This window comes from Homo sapiens, chromosome 8 (assembly GCF_000001405.40).
Source record: "Homo sapiens chromosome 8, GRCh38.p14 Primary Assembly".
Classification (NCBI taxonomy): Eukaryota; Metazoa; Chordata; class Mammalia; order Primates; family Hominidae; genus Homo; species Homo sapiens.
This window is the reverse complement of record NC_000008.11, coordinates 2,648,691-2,671,462: the sequence shown is the minus strand read 5'-3', so window position 1 is coordinate 2,671,462 and position 22,772 is coordinate 2,648,691. Positions and strand designations below refer to the sequence as shown.

The 22,772-nt window shown below is 40.4% G+C and overlaps 2 long non-coding RNA genes across 2 annotated transcripts in view; one reads left to right on the top strand and one right to left on the bottom strand.

Moving 5' to 3' along the window:
• LINC03021 (long intergenic non-protein coding RNA 3021) overlaps positions 1-22,772 on the top strand; it is a 198,360-nt gene that overhangs the window by 56,989 nt on the left and 118,599 nt on the right. The window lies entirely within an intron of this gene.
• Positions 6,785-10,277, bottom strand: LOC107986865 (uncharacterized). The gene is made up of 2 exons (XR_001745633.2): positions 10,079-10,277; positions 6,785-7,113 (listed from the first exon to the last, which is right to left on the bottom strand). It is a non-coding gene; the product is annotated as an uncharacterized LOC107986865 (long non-coding RNA).

The following is a 22,772-nucleotide window of genomic DNA, read 5'->3' as shown; positions in this document are numbered from 1 at the left end:
TTTACAAAGAACCAGGGTTTCTAGTTACTTATTATTTATGCTTTTTGTTTCTTGCTTTATTAATTTAAACTTTTTTCTTATTATTTTGTAGTTTGTGTTTCCATTTGGTTTATTCTGGTGAAGTTGTTCAAATATGATACAATGACAGGAAAAATTTCCTTTTTATTAAACTGCACAACCATTGATATCTAAGCATTATTTTAGTCAGTGGTACTCTGTTTTTCATTGAATTCTATGCAATTTACAATTGCATCTTTTGATGTAAGGATATCTTGGAGAGACTTTATTAAACCTCACAGATGCTAAGGTTGTTTTTTATTTTTATATTTGTATTTTTATTAGATTTTTTAAAAATGTAATCTCCAGCATTTCAAAATTACTTTGTACAGTACTTGAAAAAATGTTGGAACTTCTCCGTGGACATAAATATTGATTTTAGTTATGTATAGGCTATATCATTTTGCAGACATTTGTTAAACCACATGTGTTTATTATATATTTTTGTTTCTCTATATTCTCACTAATTTTTACTTTATTATGTCTGCTATATTCTAAAAGAGATGTATGATTATCATCTACCAAGATTATAAATTATAAAGTTCTCCCAAATTTAGAACCATCTTTGCTTTGTAAATTGAACAGCTATATTCTTTGGTCTAGAATGGTTAATGTTTGCTATACCCCCTTCATTATGCCATTTCATACCATATGAAATTTTATTTAATGTTTGTCTTCAACTTATTTCACGAATTCATGTTTTAATCTTAAATTTCACTTTGACGGATATTGGGTTTGTTCAACTTCTATCATTTAACTTTCAAACTTATTTTTATGGAACAAACAAAAAAGTAATATCCTTTAAGTATATCCTGTACAATATCTGAGATAGATATACTTATATAATATATGTCTCAGCATCTGAGATATATAATGCATGCCCATTATAGATACATAATACATATTTTTATATATTGGTTGGTGCAAAAGTGTGCGGTTTTTGCCATTCCTTTTAATGACAAAAACTGCAATTACTTTGCACCAACCTAATAAAAATATGTAATATATATTATTCTTTGGAAATTGAAAAACAACTTGTGTTCTGTAGTTTATCTGGCACCGCTAACTACTGCTAGTCTCATTCAGTTTTTCTCTTTTGTGTAACTTTTTTTACTCATGGAGATCGTATCAGTTATTGTTTAGCTTCAGAGGTGTTAACTTTTATCATAATATCCCTGTATGTGATGTGTGCGGTTTGTTTTATTTTTCTTTTTGTTTTGTGGTTGCTATTGTTTTGTTTTAATCATTGATCCTGAGAATTACTGAAGAAATCTGTTAATAAGAGGGCTAGCCATTGTTTTCTGGCTCCAAAACTCAAAGTGTGCCACACCCAGGGATCTGGAGAAGGAGCCTTGTGGAGACACTCACTTAGGTGTATGCACCCTCTCCCTCCCAGCCCATGAATCTCTGCGACTAAAGATTTCCCCAGACGCTCCCAGGTTCCTCCTGATCTGCAGCATTGTCGTCCCTGCCACTGACCAGGAAGCCCTCTGTGCTCCCATAGCCCCTTCAGAAACCTGTGACTTCCTGAGTCCTAAGTCTTCAGCAGAAACAGCAGCTGCCCCACGCCTTGAGCGGCAGCAGGACCCTTTCTGCCCTGATCTCCACTCAGCGCTGGAAGCCTGGTGAGTCTGGTGGTAAAAGGGATGGCAGCGGATTCCAAGGTGACCTGGGAGACTTCGGTCATTCCCAAGCCCCACCATCACTTGTGCTTAATTGCGGGAGACCAAAGGTGTGACATCCTTTCAGCTTCAGCTTTGTCAGTATGGAGGGACTAGACTCTCCATGTGGACCCATGTCAAGTCACTCGTGATCATCAACCTGCATATTGTTTTTTTTTCTTACTGTATCACTTAGAGTAGCATCAGGAAATGAAGGGTTCATTTGAAATTGGGTTGCTCAAGAAGAGTTAATTTTCAAAACGACTTGTACAGCAATCTTTTGTTTTTTTCTCATACTCTTCTGATCATCTCCCTACTTCAGTTGGGACAACACCTAAATGGGGTGGCCCCTCGACCTCCAAACGTGGATGCAGCACCACACAGGATAGCTGCTTTCGGTGCAAATGCCGGGCCAGAGAGCAGGTGTGTGGAATTAGCCGCGGACCCATGGTGCAAACTGGGAGAATGGGATACTAGTGAGATTTAGTCAGATACATTTCCCATCCTTTCCTCTCTTGGAGACCGAGGTGTGGTTCTCCTTGCATCCCCTCAGGATAATTCCTGAACACCAAGACAGCAGAGCTGGAAGAGGGACCTTCTACCTCTGTTTGGCTCTCTCACTCCCCAGTCCCTCTAACTCACAGCTGGGTGCTTCTCCCTCCCAGTTAAGCTGATTCCTTGACATTTTAGCCTTGGGCTGTGCCTTCTCCAGAACTTTGGCAGGAAAGGGACTATTTACAAAGGCATGGGTTAGGCTGTGGGAGATGTTCAAGAAATAATTCTGAGATTAGCAGCAGGAAGGCCATTCTCTCAAATCTCACTTACTCCACACCTGATAAGGGGGAGAGTTTGGGTTGAAGAAAACGCAAGTAGATGTTCCTATTGTCTGGCTGCAATGAGGAGAACAGTTACCTTTAATCCAGGGACGTGGCCATCCTGAGAGGGCCTGGCTGGGTGTTACGGGAAATAAATACCCTGGCCTCACTATGTTGCTTCCCTTTAGTTTCTTCCGCCAAACCGGGTCTCCTTGTTGAACAAACCCAACTGGAGCCAATGGCAAGGAGGATTGTTCTTGTTGTTGTTTTAATTTTGACCCAGATCACATTAGAAAAGAATAAAACCTATATCTAGCAGGGTAAATAGAACATAAGAGTCCGAGTTAAAAAAAATCAAGCAAAGCTTTAGTTTTCAGCCTCCCTTTTACACTCCTATGGATACCATAATCAATTAGCGGCAGCTCCCTGCAGGTCAAACCATCCCAATTGTTATCCCAACCTTACTATTCACTACAGTAACCAAGTCCACCTTCTCTCTTGTTAGTGAGCTCCAGCTCTGTGTGTCAGCCCTCTGGGGAGCCATCATGGCTGCCCCCACCTTCTGATACCATCACGCCCTGCTCCCGGTCCTCTGGGACCATCACACCTCCCCCCATCACCGCCCTCTGGTGCCATCATGCCAGCTCCTGTCCTGTCCTCTGGTGCCATCAGCTCCCCCCCCCCCCCGCCTTCTGGTGCCATCAGGCCACCCCCGCCCCTGCCACCCTCTGGGACCATCACGCCCGCCCCATCCTCTGGTGCATTGTCATGCTTATTGACATCCAGGACCTCATTTTGGTGGTGTCATTTCCACTCCTTTATCACTGGCCTTCAAAATCAGTTACTACTGTGCTCTTTAAGGATGTTGGAGTTCCCGTCATTCATGCACCTTAATGACCTGAGTGGTCCCCTGGACTGTCCTAGAGATGTAAGCAGAGGAGGCAGGTGGGAGCCATTCATGGTCGTTTATCCCAGCATTTCCATGCAAGCCTTTCAGTCCTTCTCTCTGCCTTATACCAGGGATGCTCGAGTATTGCACACATATTTGATACAGGTCACCAGTTAGACCCGAATTTATGCAACTACTAGACACTAAATTGGATCACCCTTCAGCTATGGAAGCTAATATATTTATTTCAGAAAATCTGACAAGATCAGTTAAATATTCCATACCTGTATGCCTTCTCTTGCACCCTGAGAATCCACACCTATCTCTATGTCTCTACTTCTGTTTTGACTTCCTAATCCCTCAGAAGAATGTCTCATATGAAAATTGAAGCTGTATCCATAATCCAGACAGCCAGGAATTTGGCGAAATGTGATTTTTTACATACATCAGAATCCTCTGACAGACAGAGCACACAGAAAGAAGAGGAGGGACAGAGAGTGAGCAGAAATATTGAGCACAGCCTCGGCTTCCAGAGCTCAGCCCTTCAGATAGGACACCCTCTCCGGAAATGGACACTCTGCCACTAGGAGAAATCTCACAGTTCAATGAGTTGGTGTTGCATAAACACCTGTTCAACGAGCAGGTGTTTTGCACGCTATCTTATAAACAGCAAGCAAAGATAATTTCCTACATATCTTATAAATCACATGCCACTATCTACACGTGCCCTTCTTATGCTGTAAATTTATATAATTAGTCACATGTTTATTAGCACAAGACATGTCTCAGGCTCTGAGTCAGGTATTTGAGAGTCAATGTTTACAAGATGTGTTTGAGCATCACCCTTACTGTGATTCTATTCTAGAGAAATCTGATAGGCAAATACACGTACACAACGGAGGACTGTGGTTTGTATTATTGTGTGTGGAATACAGCACATGATTGAGAAGGACGCAGGGCTCATAATTTAGATTAGAACGGTAAGAACAATTTGAAATGTTTAGGGCATGAAGTCTGAAAACAACATAATTTTCTGTTCCCAGGTTAAACAATTATGAGACTTGGAATAATTTTCTCTCCCTGAAGATGTAATTTCCTATTCCTGTGTTTAAAAACAACAGAAAAAAAAAAAAAAAAAACTGAGGCCAGGCAAAATTAAACATAGCTGCGTTCACCACAAAATATTTCATACAGAAAGATAAGAGTATGAAGGAAAAAAATAAAGAGCAAAAACCACCTAAAGCAGCTTAGATAGAGCTTGTTCAGCAAGATTTGATCTTGAAATGGTAGGAGGAATGGAAAGACAAAATCCAAATCGGAAGTTGCTCAGGTTTAGTTAATTAGTTAATTGATTTAATTAATTGGCTGTGATATTTGACTGTACGTTTACAGTGAAGATGGGAATAGCAACGTCTTTTATACTTCGCACATCAGCCTGTGTTGAATGCAATATGCTCTCACTGGGAAATGGCTGGATGGCCCTAGTGGGGATTCCATGAAGAGTTTCATTTTTCAAGTAGATTTGTCCCTGATGGTGCAAGTGGCATTTCCATTTTTAATTTTTCCCAGATTTCTAGCTTAAACAAGCTATGTTTATCATTGAGTTTTATCTGCCTGAATAGTAGCAGTGGTTTTTTCTTTTATTCGAGGACTTGGAATTCTGCAAAGACAGGCTTTCATGGCATAGACAAAAAACAAAAGTGATAACTGCTGTTCCTGAGTTCAACTTATTACAAAACAGCTGTATTTTTCGGCAAGTTTTAGTTGTGCAATTTAAAAATCACTTTAAGAATTACTTTAAACCACTTCAAAGCATTTTACCTCATTAAATTCTCCACTGATTTATTCCCAGGCTCACATTCTCTCTACTCACATCAGCCTGATGTCTTCAAGCCAGGATTTCTTGGGGTTTATCTCACCAGATGCAATCAACTCAAGTTCCCTCTGTGGCGCCTTCTCATTCCCTTATGCCAAGTCACACTAAAATACTTGAGAACAGTATCCATAAAACGTTCTGATATGATTTTCTTGTTCTAATTTACATACTGTGAATCTGTAAACACAAGACGGAGATTTGCATGTGTTGACATTGTTTGTGACTAAAGGGATCGTGGCCTCAGAACACACACATTACGTGGGTGACACGGACATTACTCATTTTTGTACATTTGGATGCTAATTGAATTGGGTGCTTGCCTCCAATAAGAATGGAACTTGTTGGCCTCACTGTTATAGATCTGGTTTTTCTGTATGGAGTTTTGTTGCACTTCAGGTCATTCCAACAGGTGGTGACGATGCTCCGTACGTATGCGCAGATGAGGGAGACAGACAAGCTAAAGATACTGGCTTTGTCTATACAAAAATTGTGATAATGTAAAATACAGACAGGAATAATCCATTGCTCTCTCTAAGACTTAGAGAAATTGACTGAGAACAGTTTCCACAACATTCATTATGCCTACCAGGCATTGCATGTACACATTTTGTGATAAGGGCTTTTTTAGCTTTATGCAAACCAACATCCTTCAGTCACGAGTCCTTAATGTGTGTGCCTGACGGGAGGTGCCTTTCAGTGGTTCCACCTTGTCCACCAGGTCTCAGGGCAACAGACGAGATTCCTCCTCACCTGGCCTCTGCCTGACCAGTCTCCTGTCCTGCCGCACCCACTTCGTTCTTCAGGGTCATGGAACCGTTCACACGATCACTTGGCTCGGGCTGTTCCATCTCTGAACGTTCTAGCCTTAGTCTCATCTCAGGTCAAGAAGGTGCACCGCCCTGAGGTCGGACTCTTCTGCTGCATTGTGCAGACCTGGCCTAGTGTTTTCTAACGTCAGGCCCCCCCTCCCCCGCCCCCAGGTGGCTGGGGCTTCTGTTTTCTCTTTAGTCTGCAAGTTATTGAAAAACTGAGTCTATTTATTTCTTCATTTCTGTATATTCAGTCATATAGTAGGAGCTCAGAAAGGTTTCTTTTTTTTTTTTTTTATTTTAACTCCATTCTATTGAACTGAAAAGATAGGTACCAAATCCAAGAAATGCCAGGCTATTCTCTCTGATTACGTCTTTCTGGTTGAGCACACTGAATCTACGTGGGTTTGGGGAGGGGTGTGGAGCGCCCAAGGATGACACACACTGACCTCCCGGCTCACAGACCACATGCATAGCGTCATTACATGGAGCGCCTGTTACTGGCTGTGTTATATTAAAAACATCCAAGAAACAATATGATGAGGCAGTACTAGAGGCAGGGAGAGAATGCCCTGTCAAAGGGTCTGTAATGTGTAAAGTGAGTAAAACTCTATGAAAACCCAGGTCTGTGAGACTCAAAATTTCCACCAAGACCTTTATGCTCTACAACAGGGGCATTGCCACTTTGGAAATATTTGCTTTATTCTCAATCCCCATGAGATATTTAGTATTAAAAATTAGGAAGAGGCCAGGCGAGATGGCTCATGCCTGTAATGCCAGAACTTTGGGAGACCAAGACTGGCTGATCACCTGAGGTCAGGAGTTCGAGGCCACTCTGTTCACCATGGCAAAACCCCATCTCTACTAAAAATACAAAAATTTTCTGGGCATGGTGGCAGGCACCTGTAATCCCAGCTACTCTGGAGGCTGAGCCAGGAAAATTGCTTGAACCCAGGAGGCAGAGGTTGCAGTGAGCTCCAAGCTGGGCGACAGAGGGAGATTCCGTCTAAAAAAAGAAAAAAAAAAAGGAAAAAAACAATTAGGAAGACTTTTGAGAAGTATCTGTTGATATCCTTTGCCCACTTTTTGATGGGGTTGTTTGTTTTTTTCTTGTAAATTTGTTTAAGTTCCTGTAGATAGGTAGATTGTGAAAATTTTCTCCCATTCTGTAGGTTGCCTGTTCACTCTGATGCTAATTTCTTTTGCTGTGTAGAAGCTCGTTAGTTTAATTAGATCCCACTTGTCAATTTTGGCTTTTGTTGCAATTGCTTTTGCTGTTTTAAGTCTTAAAGTCTTTGCCCATGCCTATATCCTGAATGGTATTGCCTAGGTTTTCTTCTAGGGTTTTTATGGTTTTTGGTTTTACATTTAAGTTTTCAATCCAACTTGAGGTAATTTTTGTATATATTTATGTGGACAACAAACATATGAAAAAAAGCTCATCATCACCAATCATCAGAGAAATGCAAATCAAATCCACAATGAGTTACCATCTCACTCCAGTCCGAATGGCTATGATTAAAAAGTCAGGAAACAATAGATGCCGGCGAGGCTGTGGAGAAATAGGGAAGCTTACGCTGTTGGTGGGAGTGTAAATTAGTTCAACCATTGTGGAAGACAGTGTGGTGATTCCTCAAGGATCTAGAACCAGAAATACCATTTGACCTAGCAATCCCATTAGTGGATATAGATCCAAAGGATTATAAATCATTCTCCTATAAAGACACATGAACAGGTATGCTTATTGCAGCGCTATTTACAATAGCAAAGACTTGGAACCAACCCAAATGCCCATCAATAATCAACTGGATAAAGAAAATGTGGCACATATACACCATGGAATACTATGCAGCCATAAAAAAGAATGAGATTATGTCCTGTGCAGGGACATGAATGAAGCTGGAAGCCATCATTCTCAGCAAACTAACATGGAATACAAAACCAAACACCGATTGTTCTCACTTGTAAGTGGGAGTTGAACAATGAGAACACATGGACACAGGGAGGGCAACAACACACACTAGGACCTGTTGGCGGTGGGGGACAAGGGGAGGGAGAGCATTAGGACAAATACCTAATGCATGTGGGGCTTAAAACCCAGATGATGGGTTAGTAGGTGCAGCAAACCACCATGGCACATGTGTACCTATGTAACAAGCCTGCATATTCTGCACATGTATCTCGGAACTTAAAATAAAATAAAAAATAAATAAATAATAAATAAATACAAAAAATTTAGGAAGACCAAGAAAATGTCAAAATCACTGTCTTGAATTCCTCCCTTGCTTGCAGATTGTTTTTACTATACCTGCAAAATATCTCCCAGCTGTGAGCTGTCACAAAAGATGCATTCAAAGACATGCTCAGTGGGCTGGTAAGGACCCAGGAAGGGCTGTCCCACTGGGAGCTCCCAGCATCAGCATCCTCTCCTGAATTTTCTGTGACATCCATCGGGGTGTGCAAGACTTCTAAAGGCAGAGTCTCGCTAAAGTGACTAACGTAATTGAATGCATTTCATTTATATATTGACTCCTCATTTGATGAAAAATATAAATTTTAGTTATTACAAATATTACATAAAAGAAAAAATACGTTTTTTAAAAGGATGAAATTATAAAGTATAAAAGAAGCATAGAATGCAATGTATTCATGCATTTGTAAGCAAGGATATGAGTGTAAGTGTCATGAAAGATTTTTGTCAGACTATTTCTACCCTACTTATACTAATACTTCTGAAATAATGTCTGATAGAAAGAAATGTCTAGCAAAAGTGATTTCTTAACGTGAATTTTAAAGCATACTTTGCACATTTTGGATGCTAAGTGTTTTTGAACATTACGTAAAACCAAGAATAATTTAACGTATTCTGGCTTACCTTTCCATCTTGTATTCAATCTTACAGGATTACTCATTGCAAAACAGTATAAAGAAGGATATATTTTATATTAAAATATTTATCTTAAATCCTGGATCTGTCTGTTAAAAGTGAGCTAATCCATTTTGCTATTCCTTTTAGCCAGTGGGAGACAGAGGAAGAGGGAAGGATTCAATAAACCCACAATCTGAGAAGGACCGAGATGAATTCTGTGAGAATTTCTTATTTGCTGGGCTCCTTTGGATTACTCTAATATGTTATCTCAATTAAACCATATTGCAACACCATTAAGTAAATACAGTTAATAGTTATTTTGATGGTTAAGACCATCAGATTCCAGAATGGTTATAAACCTTGCTCAAATACTATACTAGCCTGGAGTCTGAAGCTCATAGTGTTAACCACTACTTTATATTACAAACCAGTTTTGCCCTATGAATTTTACCTCAAGAAATGAAACATATCGGGTGCATCTTTAACTGAAAAATCCAGATGGAAATATTAAAATAAATGACCAGTAACAGCAGTTATACATGTGTACTGGTTCCAGTATAGACATCTATTTCCTCTATAGTTGAATTGGATGTGAATGATAGGAAAAAGGCTTGGTGCCTTTGTAACCTGCCCCCTTTTCTCCATTGCTTTTGAGCTCAGCTGCCACTGGTCCTTATGCGTTTGCAGTTCCCACAGGCAGAAAGCCTTGTACGATGCGGATCTAGACTGGGCGCGGTGGCTCACACCTGTAATCGCACCACTTTGGGAGGCTGAGGCGGGAGGGTCATGAGGTCAGGAGTTGGAGACCAGCCTTGCCAACATGGTGAGACCCCGTCTCTACTAAAAATACAAAAATTAGCCAGGCATGGTGGCGGACACCTGTAATCCCAGCTACTCGGGAGTCTGAGGCAGGAGAATCACTTGAAACCGGGAGGCAGAGGTTGCAGTGAGCCAAGATCGTGCCACTGCACTCCAGCCTGGCCAACAACAAGAGGGAAACTCCGTCTCAAAAAAAAAGTTGCAGATCTGACTCTCTGCTCTGATCCAGTTCCCCTGCCAAGTGCCTTAGTCCTCCTCCTAATCCAGAATCACCCCAGCTCACCTCAGGCAGTGGCTGCCTCTCTCCTTCCCTCTCAAGCCATAGCATCTTCAGTGGTCGCTGCCATTGACCCGCCTGCCTTGATTGGAGTCATCAAAATCGATTCCCCTGGAGATGCCATTGTGGATGACATCATCTTCCACTTGGAGTCCTCGGTGCCCAGTGCAGTGGCTGGATCACAAGCTCTCACTAAAAATATGTGTTTAACTGGGCAAAAAAAAAAAAAAAAAAAAAAAAAAAATTTTCATCCTGAGATTTTTGGGAATCTGGAAAAACAGGTTCTATTTCTGATTTTTTTCACAACTTTTTATATGAATTTAAAAGAGCAAGTTCATTTAAATAAAATGAATTCTTTGTGTTTTAATTTTTTTGGAGGGGGGGAGAGTCTCACTCTATCACCCAGGCTGTAGTGCAATGGCATGATCTCGACTCACTGCAACCTCCACCTCCCAGGTTCAAGCAATTCTCCTGCATCAGCCTCCTGAGTAGCTGGGACTACAGGAGCCAGCCACTACACCCAGCTAATTTTTGTATTTTTAGTAGAGATGGGGTTTCACCATGTTGGCCAGGCTGGTCTCGAACTCCTGAGCTCAGGTGATCCACCCGCCTTGGCCTCCCAAACTGCTGGGATTACAGGTGTGAGCTACCACACCCACCCTGTGTTTTAATTTTTATCAGACTAGTACATATCTAATATTAAGAACTTAACTAGTGGTGAAATTTATTTATCATTTTGAGAAATAAAACGGTTGTTTTTCTGTTACTTCTCACACTCCAGCTCATTAGACACTAGACACAATGGCTGTGAACTCTGTCACCTGAGTCTTCCCGTGGTAACCTTCAGATTTATTAAACAAAACCTTCACACTGTCCTTCAGAGACTTATCCATTTGGGGCATAGGGAACTGCTTTTTAATGACAGCGGCAGATCAACTCTTCCTTGGGCCTGTTTCCTTCCTCACCACCCCCCACTACAATTATACCACCCTCTTAGTCAAATTACAATCTTTGTGTGGAGTCTGGTGTTTTAAAATCGCATTTTCTTTTCTGCAGAGTTGTGGGTTTTTTGCATTAACGATGACATTTTACATGCATATTTTTCTATATGTATCTACATTGTATTCTGGGTATTCCACGATTTTATCTATCATATTTCCATTCTTCCAAATCATCTTCCGAGAGGCAGCCTTCCTCCTGGGCTCCCCGATTCTTGTCCCAACAGCCAATGGTTACTTTCAGGCCTGTGGCCCAGACAGCACCATGAGGTCCAACCCAATATTCCTGGAAACAATGTCTCTCTCTTTCTTGGGTGATATTTTTGTTTGGAAAGAGCACATCTTCCAGAATCCTGTAAGGACCTCTACGCTGCCCAGAAGTTTTCCTGGAAAACCCTATTCATTTCTGTATTCAAGGGTGTGAACAGATCAAGTTCTACAGCTCCAGGACAGTGAAGGGCCATCCTTGGGAAAGTGAATGCAGAGCTTACCAGACGGCACAATTGCTAACACCGATGAAGGTAATCGGCCCGGTTCCGGAAGTCCTCTCCCTGCGAACACTCCCCCTGCTCCATCCCTGAGTGTCACACAGAAGACGCCGCTCTGGAGGCAGATGCTGGGGGCTGCAGCCATTGTGGGTGGGGCTGATCTCGGGGAAAGGGGACCCAGATGTCAGAGGAAGGCCCATAGCGTAGCCTGGTATGTAGCACTGTCTAAGATATAGAGCTTGAGTGTGATGCTGAACAAGGCACACCGCCTTAGACAGTTTCTTCACCATTGAAACCAATGGACCTGCCCCCAGAGAGCTGCAGGATGGATGGACAGGAAGATACGTAAAGCTCCCTGTACCCGCTGCAGAAAACAGGCAGGTGCCTTCAGGCATTGAGACTCACTCGAATGTAATTTCAACGAAGGAAAATGTTGTTTTTCAGTAGCTACATTGCCAGCACTGACAGCAAAGTCTAGACCGTATTTTTTGTTGTTGTTGAATGAATGGATTTTTCATTCTCCTTCTCTGCTTCTTTCCTCATAGATAATTACATTAGAGGATTCTAATGGTGATCTTTTCGTTTTTTCTTTATTCTATGATGCAAGTTTGTTTTTTTGTTTTTTTTGAGGTGGAGTCTCCCTGTGTCGCCCAGGCTGGAGTGCAGTGGCGCCATCTCAGCTCACTGCAACCTCTGCCTCCTGGGTTCAAGCCGTTCTCCTGCCTCAGCCTCCCAAGTAGCTGGGACTACAGGTGCACACCACCATGCCCGGCTAATTTTTGTATTTTTAATATAGGCGGTGTTTCGCCACATTGGTCAGGCTGGTCTTAAACTCCTGACCTTGTGATACGCCTGCCTCAGCCTCCCAAAGTGCTGAGAATACAGGTGTGAGCCATCACGCCCGGCCGATGCAAGCTTTTATATGTTCTTGAGAAAATTATTACAGGGTGTTTTTTCTCATATTCTTTAATATTTTTCAGAACAAATGCTCATTTGCTTTTTATTTATTTAAATTTGAGCACCATGCAATTTTTACTAAGCTGAATAGCTAGGCTAACTACTATGATCTTTTTAATTAAAGAAAAGAAAAACAGGGTCACAGGTTATGCAAAAAAAGAAAAAAGCATTCGCAGAATATAAAAATCTGACCCCCCAAAAAACAAAGCAAAACAAAACATCACTGATCTAAACATATTTGAAAGTTACTTTAGAAGTTAAAATAATTTTTTAACTCTCTTCACTGAAATATCTCTTTGGCTGAGTAGTTTTGTAGTTGTGATATGAACATAAGACAGGTAATAAAGATAAATTACTAAAGGAAGAAATTACATAAGCTTAGACTTGACTAAAGTCATAATCTATTCTCATCACTTGTTTAATCCTTAAACATATGAAACTCGAACTTAGTCACTTGCTTTAAATTCTGTGGTCAGAAAAAATGATTTGTCACTCCAAGGTGTTGAAAATTAACTATGCATCTCTCTGATATTTAATCTATCAGGACTACCAATGATTAATATTTAATCTTCTATCCCCTATTAATAGTTATGAGGAATACTGCACATTTAAGGGAAGAAAAGGAATCAAAGCTGTGCCTCCTGTTGCATACTGAATACAGCTGTTCTGCAGAGACACAGAGTGCAGAAGCAGGTCGTAAAACTGCTAATTAAAAGTACCAAGTGCGCTAGTAACCTACGGAACTCTCCTAGAAAGAAGGAAAACTTTTAGGGTAAAATAACTTAATTGACTCCCGAGGGAATGAATTGCAAAAGGCCAACCAGCCACACAAACCTGTAGGGGTCTGGCAGAGACATCTTTGAAGAAAGTTGGTTGACTAGGAGGTTCTGCATAATACCTTGTGAATGTGGCTACTAATTAGTTTAAAGCCTATCCATGACTGAAATGGATTAACCTTTCTCACAGCCACGTATGAAGTGTGCAGGCTGCAAGTCCAGGGAGAGCATGCTTGTGGTAGAAACGCTGGGCAAAAGACTGCTCTCAGCCATGGGCAATCACTAAGACTAAGCAATGGTGCAGGCAAAGCTTCTAAAACTAATGTGTTTTCTATTGCAACTCGGAATATTTGGCTATACCACTTCCATGCATATTCTATTATTTATTCTGTTTTGTTTAATCGCTGTGGCTGGAGAAGAAGTGATCTCACGGGAAAGTCATTGCGCGATTCAGAAATCCTTACTATCCTCTGTGGATGGGAATGTAAGTTAGTATAGCTACTATGGAAAATAGGATGGAGGTTTCTGAAAAACTAAAGATAGAACTACGGTATGATCCAGCAATCCCACTACTGGGTATTTACCCAAAGGAAAAGAAATCATGATATCAAAGGGACACCTGCACTCCCTTGTTAATTGCAGCACTATTCACAACAGCTAAGACATGAAATCAGCCTAAGCATCCATCAGTGGATGGATGCATAAAGAAAATGTGGTACATATACCAATTAAATACTATTCAGCCATAGCAAACAATGAAGTAATGTGTTTTGCAGCAACATATATGGAACTGGAGGTCATTAGGTTAAGTGAAATAAACCAGGCACGGAAAGACAAATATCACATGTTCTCACTCATATGTGGGAGCATAAAACGTTGATCTCAGGGAGCTAGAGAGTAGAATGATAGAGACCTGAGGCTAGAAAGGATGTGTAGATTGGGGAGGAGGAATGACGAGGTCGGTTAATGGATAGAAACATAGACTTGATAGAAGGGATACATTTTGATATTCCATAGCCCAGCAGGTTTACTCTATTGTATATTTCACAACAACTATAAGATTTGAAACATTCCCAACACAAAGAAATGATAAACATTTGAGGTGATGGATATGCTAACTACCCTACTTTGATCATAACACGTTCTGTGCACCTATCAAAATATCACATGTACCAATAAATATGTGCAAATAGTATGTATCAATTTAAAAATCTTGGCTATAACATGATTAAGGAATTTATGGAAAGTCAGAGCATAAGCAGATTAAATCTAAAAGGCAGTCTTGGCTGGGCTTGGTGGCTCATGTCTGTAATCCCAGCACTTTGGGAAGCACAGGTGGTGAATCACTTGAGGTCAGGAGTTCGAGACCAGCCTCGCCAACATGGTGAAACCCCATCTCTACTAAAAATACAAAAATTAGCTGGATATGGTGGCAGGTGGCTTAGTCTCAGCTACTTGGGAAGCTGAGACAGGTGAATCACTTGAACCCCGGAGGCAGAGGTCACAGTGAGCTGAGATCATGCCACCCCATTCCAGCCTGGGCAGCAGAAGAAGGTTCCATCCCCCCAAAAAATAAAAATTAAAACTAAAATTAAAAAAAATTAAAAGGCAGTCTGACAGGTGAACACACCAAAGAGAAGTGGGTGCTGCAGTGGGTGAAACAGGGCGGACATCCGAAAAGGCGTGGGGTGGATCCCAGGCTTGAGCCTCGTGAGCCAAGCCTCCAAGGAATCGCTCTAGGGGTGCTGGGCAGCTCTGGTTCTTGGTGTCAGCGGTGATGTGGTCCATGAACTAGATGGGTCAATTTAAAACACTGGAGATGGGAATGAAAATAGCCACAATTGGTAATATTAAATGAATTGCACTGAGTGGTCACCCTGAGAGAAGGGCTCTGGAGAGAGGAGGCTGGTTGTGGAGTTAAGAATCTCTCCATTGTCTAGTTGCAGAACTTGAGCGTTAGCGAGGCAGGAAGACATGCATCTTGGGGACTGAAAAGTCCTGGACTCATCTCAGAGGCGGTTTGGGGCTTACATAGCTACAATCAATAACCATCCTATCAGAGAGTCCCCGACTTCATCAGCATAGAAAAGAATCACTTCTTGGAGTGCATAAAGACATTGTTCAGAAGGAGATTGAAAAAAAAAAATTCAACTTGTGTGATGGTAAAGCCAACTCTGCTGGGTCAGCGTCCATCTTCTCTAACAATATAGCCAAATTATTGGGAACAGGACACCCATCGTGTCTCTTTCCAATCTTAGATTAATTTGCATATAATCTTATTATTATTATTTTTTTTTTTTTGAGACAGAGTCTTGCTCTTGTTGCCCAGGCTGGAGTGCAGTGGCGTGATCTCGGCTCACTGCAACCTCTGCCTCACAGGTTCAAGCAATTCTCCTGCCTCAGCCTACCAAGTAGCTGAGATTACAGGCACCCACCACCATGCCCAGCTAATTTTTGTATTTTTAGTAGAGACGGGGTTTCACCATGTTGGACAGACTAGGGTCGAACTCCCAACCTCAGGTGATCTGCCCACCTCGGCCTCCCAAAGTGCTGCGATTACAGGCATGAGCCACCACACCTGGCCTGCATATAATAATTTCTAATGAAACAGATATGAATTAGTTTAGACAAATGCTTCATGATGAAAATATTATGTGAGGCACTTATGTAATTTTACTTTTTCTAGTAGTGATAGTAAAAACAAAGGGATGCAGGTGAAATTAAATTTAATAATATATTTAATTTGATGCATTCAAAATATCCTTTCCACATGTAATCAATATAAACGTTATTAATACAATATTTCACTTTTTCATGCTGCCTTTGAAACCTTTGGATTTTGTATTTTACACTTAGCGTCCATCTCACTGTCCACCAGGCACATTGAAGTGCTCAGCAGTCACATGTAGCTGAATGCTGTTTTAGAGTCAGCCTCTCGATTTAGAATTCTTAACTTCCCTGTGTTTAGATGTGCGTTTAATGATTCAGTAGCCTGATGTTTCTGCTGGAGTATTGTCACAGCTGATTCAGATGAGATTTCGGCCACTGTGGAATGGAACACCAGGAAGGAAAATGGCGTGGAACTTCACTGAGTTCACGGAGCAGGCTGTTTGGGATACTGAGTTCACAGAGCAGGCTGTTTGGGATCGCTTTGGTTGCTTGCCTGCTAATAAAAATTCCTTCCTGTCATCTGACACCTGTTGTCACAGTAACACACCATCTACTCAAGAGATGCGTGGGAGAAAATGCCTACAGCTCTCACTTCCCTCCTGCAATTCTCAGCTATTAGTAACCACCTACAAAAACAACCTAATCATGAAGGACAACATCAGATTTCGCTAGTTCACAATGTTAAATTTCATGATGACATATTCTACCAATTATCCTAAAGCTAATATCTTCTCCATGTCTTTAATTTACTGTCTATTTAATGACTTTAGTCAATTCAGTCAAATACAACTTTGGAGACAAAAATACCCTACTTTTGGTTTGATTTTTATTGGTCCATATGTAATTTCGCTGCATGGTCGCTTAACTCTGTAACTGTCAGTTTTCTCAACTGTGTAATAAGGAAGTTGGGGGAATTCTGCTTCTGATTCAGATATTGAAGTTAGAGGAGACCATCACTCTCACCATAAAATAAAATGAGTCAGAAAAACTACAAAAACCATAGTTTTTTTTTAACCCTAAGAAAACTCAAGACACAAAAGTGTAAATAAACTGAACAGAAAATCAGAAGCGACCTTCCACGAGTCGGGTCAACTGCAGAAGTGAGATGGATCTGACACAGCTTCGGTAAGGAGGAGTCAGATGAACTTCTCCTGGGTGTTCAGTGGCCTGGGGGAGTTGTATGTCAGAGCTGACGTTGGTCGAGCTCCAGCAATGGAAACAGCCTTCTCCCCTGCCCACCTGTCCATGGGTCTCACTGAGTGCCCAAGTGTCATGTGTCAAAGGGGATTGAGGGAGGGGGTGGATAAAAACAGCTGGAAGCGACGGCTCCCTGAGATCTACAAGGGCTCTTGCGAGTTCCAGGGAAGAGCTGTCTGACGGTGGGCAAGTACCGGGGCAGAAGGTGGAGATGAGTTGATCTGAGGGGCCCCCCACCCTTCAGAGGGAGGGTAAGGCAGCATCTGTTGACCTGGGTTTTCTCCTGAAAACTGTGGGGTCAGGGGAGGAAACTTGAGATTTTAAAAGTCGAATGCATCCCAGGCTTTCAATTACTGAAGACTAGAGGAGTTGAGTAGGTCCACAGGAGAGAAACCATCTAAAGCAGCTACCAAGGCCCTGCGGGATGCCCCTTAGGAGGCCTGAGAGCCCAGCACTGCCGGCGAAGAAAACGGCCCTGGACTCAGAAAGTAGAAGCCAGGAACTGAGATCAAAGGGTTTTCAGCTGCCCCCAGAGCAGGCCATAGACCCTCCAGCAAGGACAGATCCTGCATGGATCCAAAGCAGGTGGCTCGGCTTGGGAGGACAAGCGACCTCAGGATTCCCACGTGTGCTGGGACCCCGGACCTCAGTGGAAGGAGAGTGCTGACCTCCAACTCGACTGGAATCCTGTGATAACCTGAATCAAATTATAACTAATCAGCTCCACACCCGGCTCAAATCTGATCGGCTCAACCATCACCCTAAGGGCTGACCTGAAAAGAGCCTATACTGTTACACATTCAAAAACTGGGAAGTAATTTTCACATTGCTTTTCAAAAATTGACTCACATGCTTAGGATAAACCCCACTTAGATATGACACATTGTTCTTGTTGTTTACTATTAGATTCAATTTTCTAAAATTGTCTTTAGGACAAGTGCATCTATAATCATAAAAGATACGGTAACGTGTTTGTCCAGATTTGGTACAAATATAAACCACAATATGGATGAACCTTGCAAATATAATATTATGCAAGGAAACCAGCATAAAATAATATAAACTGTATAATTCTATTTACATAAAGTTAAAATAAAAAGCAAGCAAGATGCTATTCTAGAGAGTCAGATTTAAGTGTTAAAAATGTAAAGAAAAGCAGTAAAGGGATCATCATAAATGTCAGGATGGGGCTACCTGGGAGGGGACGGCTGGGAGGAGGGGCGGTGACTAGGTTAAGGGAAAAAATCGGGGGTGGGAAGGTTATTCATTTCTCAAACTGTGTGTGGATTGCATATGTGTGTATTTTGTGAGAAATTTCTGAGAAGTACTTTTGCTTTCTGGGAATTAGAAGAAGGGGGATTGGTAGGTACATATTTTCGTATGTTTATTGTATTCTATTAATGAAGGTTTGACAATAAAAAAATTGCAAAACGCACGTATTCATACAAACAAACTCAAGAAAATAGACCCACAGTCATAAAATGAAACAATTAATAGGAACAGTCCCCTAAACAATATATTGATATATTTAGCAGAGTGGAACCTTAAGAAAACATGAGCAAAATTCCAAGGGGTTTGCCAGGGGAGGTGAATGTGTGTGGCAATGGAAAATTTCAGCAGCATCGTGAACAGTATGCAAAAATGGAAATGTCAGAAATATAAAAAATAACATCAGAAATTAAAAAAAATACAAGAAGCACTTGATTGCAGACTGAACATGGCCTAAGAAATGGTTAATGATTTAGAAGGCAATCTGATTAAAATATCTCAGGAAAAAAATACTGAAAAATATAATAGAACAAATCACCTGAGAACTGAGGCAAAGTAATTATAAATGGTCCAACATGCACGTAATTTAAGTCCCAGAATAAAATAAGAAAAAAATAAAGAAAAGGAAATATTTGAGACGATAACAATTGAAAACTTTCTAAAACTGATGCAAAACATAAACTCACACATAAAATGACAGAAATCTAAATCTAGGGACACATGTCCCTAGTCGCAATGGAAAAATAGTTGTCAAAAAGTATGTTAATATTAGAACAAAAATAGAAAAACAAATAAGAAATAAGGTTTATATGTAACAAACATTATGAGGAAGATTTGAAGCCAAGAGTAAAAATAATGTCTCTTCCCATCCCTCCTTTTGACCAGAAAATATTGTGATCTAGTGAAAAAGGGTCTGGATTTGGCTAACAGAAGGGGACAGGTCTCTACCTACTCTGCCCTGAGCTTGTTGGTTGACCCTTTCTCTAACCAATCCTTTTCGGGTCTCTTTTCTACCAGTAGAATTTTTAACACCTGAAATTGTCACAAACACTTACTGCCCTTTGCTATCAGACGCCAGGGCAGAGAGGCTCTGGCTGTCTTCTGCTATTTATCCCCAGCCCCCAGAACAATGTCTCAGAACAGCTGCTCAGCAAGTATCCATCGATTGAAGATGGCAGGAAGGTCTCAGCGCCTGTCTCTCTAAATACAAAACCACTTCTACTTCTAGAACAAATTTGAAGATAAACATCAACCTGAGAGAAATAGTGATGAATAATCCAGCTCCACTAGAAAGACAAATTTCTTAAACATTAATCCTTAAGTGGAAGCTGTGAAAGAATTCTCCTGCTTGCTTACTTCATGCCTTTGTGAGGTTTGATCGCATTTCCTACCTGCCAGATATTGTCCTTTCCCTCCTCTTTATCCAACCCAAGATTTCATTGATTCGTTGATTTTAATGCATAAAAAATGCAATGAAACTAACGTTTCAGGAGCATGTATGAACTATATTACAGCAGATAAACATGTACAGGTGTGCACAGAAATAGCTGGTACACACAGTTCCTTCCCTGAGATCACGGCAAGTTGAAGTTACCAGGAAGTGCACGGTAAAGGAAGCTGCTTGTGGTCAGTATTTCAAATTTACGTGCATTCAGGGCAGAAATCGTGCTGCTGTGTTTTAAAAATATAATTATATATACACACATATTAAAAAATTAAAGCTCTGTTAAAAAGTCAAAAAAGAAGTAGCGAGTAAGGAAAATCCTCACGCTGAATAAATATTGTCTCACTCAATGAGAAATGATAATTACACATGTAGTCAAGATGATGATTAAATATGACAATGTATTGCCCATAGAAAATGGAAAATAAACTGTAAACTAATGAAAGTATTTCAAATAATGCCTGTCAGGATGTGCAAAGTTCTGAGTGGGAATATTTCATCTCTAATGCACAGTTCTGTCCACCTGCCCTTCATCATGATCTCTTAAGCTATTTTCAGATGACAAACCCTTCCTTCTTTCTTATGAAAAATTTGCTTAATACAGGATTATTATTTCAATAATCCTATTACATTAATCAATCAAACTTTGGCAAGTTTAAAGTGTTTTACCTTCAAGTAGGTTTTTTTCTCACAGAGATAATAATTTTATAATAAATGCCTGGTATTCTAATAGAAGAACATTTTCAGAAATTGACTGGTAAACAGCAAAGGTAATCTCTTTTGATGTCCCTGGAATCTAGTCATGCTACAGGATGTTTGAGAAAACACGCATGCACACATCGGAACTTCAAAATATAACTTAACAAGTCAGCCTCTATATATCACAAGTGCTATGTTTTACTATGTAAGAGGAATACAAATACTTCTAATTCATCTTCATAATCAATATCATTTTGAAATGCACAGGTTAAAATTGTGTACTGCATGATGGCATATATTCATAAACAGATGAAATAAAAGAATGATCACCAAAAGAGTCTTTTATTTAAAGGCTGGATGGATTTTTGAAGATTTTTAATCTCTTCTTTATTTTTTGTACTTATGTGTATTTTTATAATGAGATTATTTTTATCCTGAGGATGCATTTTTATATTATCAGAAGTACGATTGTATTAGTTTTTTAGGGCTGCCATAAAAATTTCCATAAACTGGGTGGCTTAAAATAGAAATATATAGTCTCACAGTTCCGAGGCTGGAAGTTCAAAATCAAGGTGTCAGCAGAGCCATGCTCCCTCTGAGACTTGGAGATAAAGGGTCCTTCCTGCCTCTTCCAGCTCTTGGTCGACCAGGGACTCCTGGCTTGTGGCCACATCAATCCAGCCTCACTTGACTTTCTGTCTGTGTCTTCACATCATCTTCCTCCTGCGTTTGTCTGTGTGCAAATGTCCCTTTTTATAGGGGGTGCCAGTTATACAGGATTGGGTTCCTCCCTCATCATTTTAATTTGACTTTCTCTGTCAGGATGCTATTTCCACATAAAGTGACAGTCTGAGGTTCCCAGGGTTAGGATTTCACCTTATCTTTTTACGAGGGAGATAATTCAACTCATAATAGTAATGAATCTTCATTCTGAAAATAGGAATAAAAAGACTGATGTACATAGTCTTTGCCTAGACATTTTCACAAGTTAAAAAAATCAATTTCTGTTTGGTGCCTTTTAATTTAATTAATATGCTTTCTAATATTTATATTTGTGAAATGGACAGAAGGAAAAATATCAGTATTGTTAATTAGTCATTTTGGCAATCATCACAAGGCTAAATGCTTTTAATATTTTCAAGTTGTTTTCCTCCTTGCTTTTCATATAAACCATTTAATCAACATGTTCTTCATTGATATGGCAGATTTTTAATTTGTGGCTTAAAATTATTACATGAAATTACTGAAAGTTACATATGACAGCTTCAACAAAGACTTGTAATCAAATAAGAAAAGACCCACTAAAGCATTTTGTGTTTTTAGTCATCACACTAATTAAAAGCATATTTCTGTTCTCTTAAACATTGAGCTTCTGCCTTAGAGTCACATAAATTCTTGCTTCCAGTTTTCCACAAGGACCATATTTCAAAAGCTATTATCTTAAAATTACAGTTGAAATGACTTGTTCAGCTAACATTAGTTACCTTCCTCTTCTCTATATTTAATTCTCGCTCTTTCCTGATTATCCAAGCTGTCAATCTCTGTATTTCACAAAACTATATTTATAACTTCACGGTTATTAAGGCTGATTTTATATGTCCTGATTTAAACTGAATTTCTAAAAAAATTCTAGAGGCAAATGTTCTTTAGAGAATGAGTCACTTCCAGACACCTGCCTGGTGCCCAGGTGTGCACTGAGGCAGGCTGGAGTGACTGGCTCTGGAAACAGTGCAAGAGGACCTTGTTGCTGCTTAGCAACACCATCCTCAGGACCACAGGCGGGAGGCCTTCATCTCAGCACAGTTTTAGAAAGAACAAAGGTCTAGGGACACAGAAGAAAAAAACCTCTTCAGGATATCTACCTCAAATCCAAAAAATACCTGTATTCTTATAGCTACAGTGGATTCGATAGCTGTATTGTATTGAGTTTATAGAGGAAAATACCTGAATATTATCATTTAGTTATATTTAAAGTGATCATACTCTTTTCTTCTTTTCTACCTGGAGCTCCTCACCCTCAGGCGATTTCAGAGGATGTTGACACGTTACCAGTGGGTGAGGAAAGCGTGAGGAAATAAAAGTGGATTGACTTCTTGGATTGAAAGTCCTTCTGGAAGGAGAACTAATAATGCTGACATTGGCTAAGGGAAGTGTTTGCAAGCTCCATGGGCATCTCATTGCTGATGCTCGAGCACTACTTCA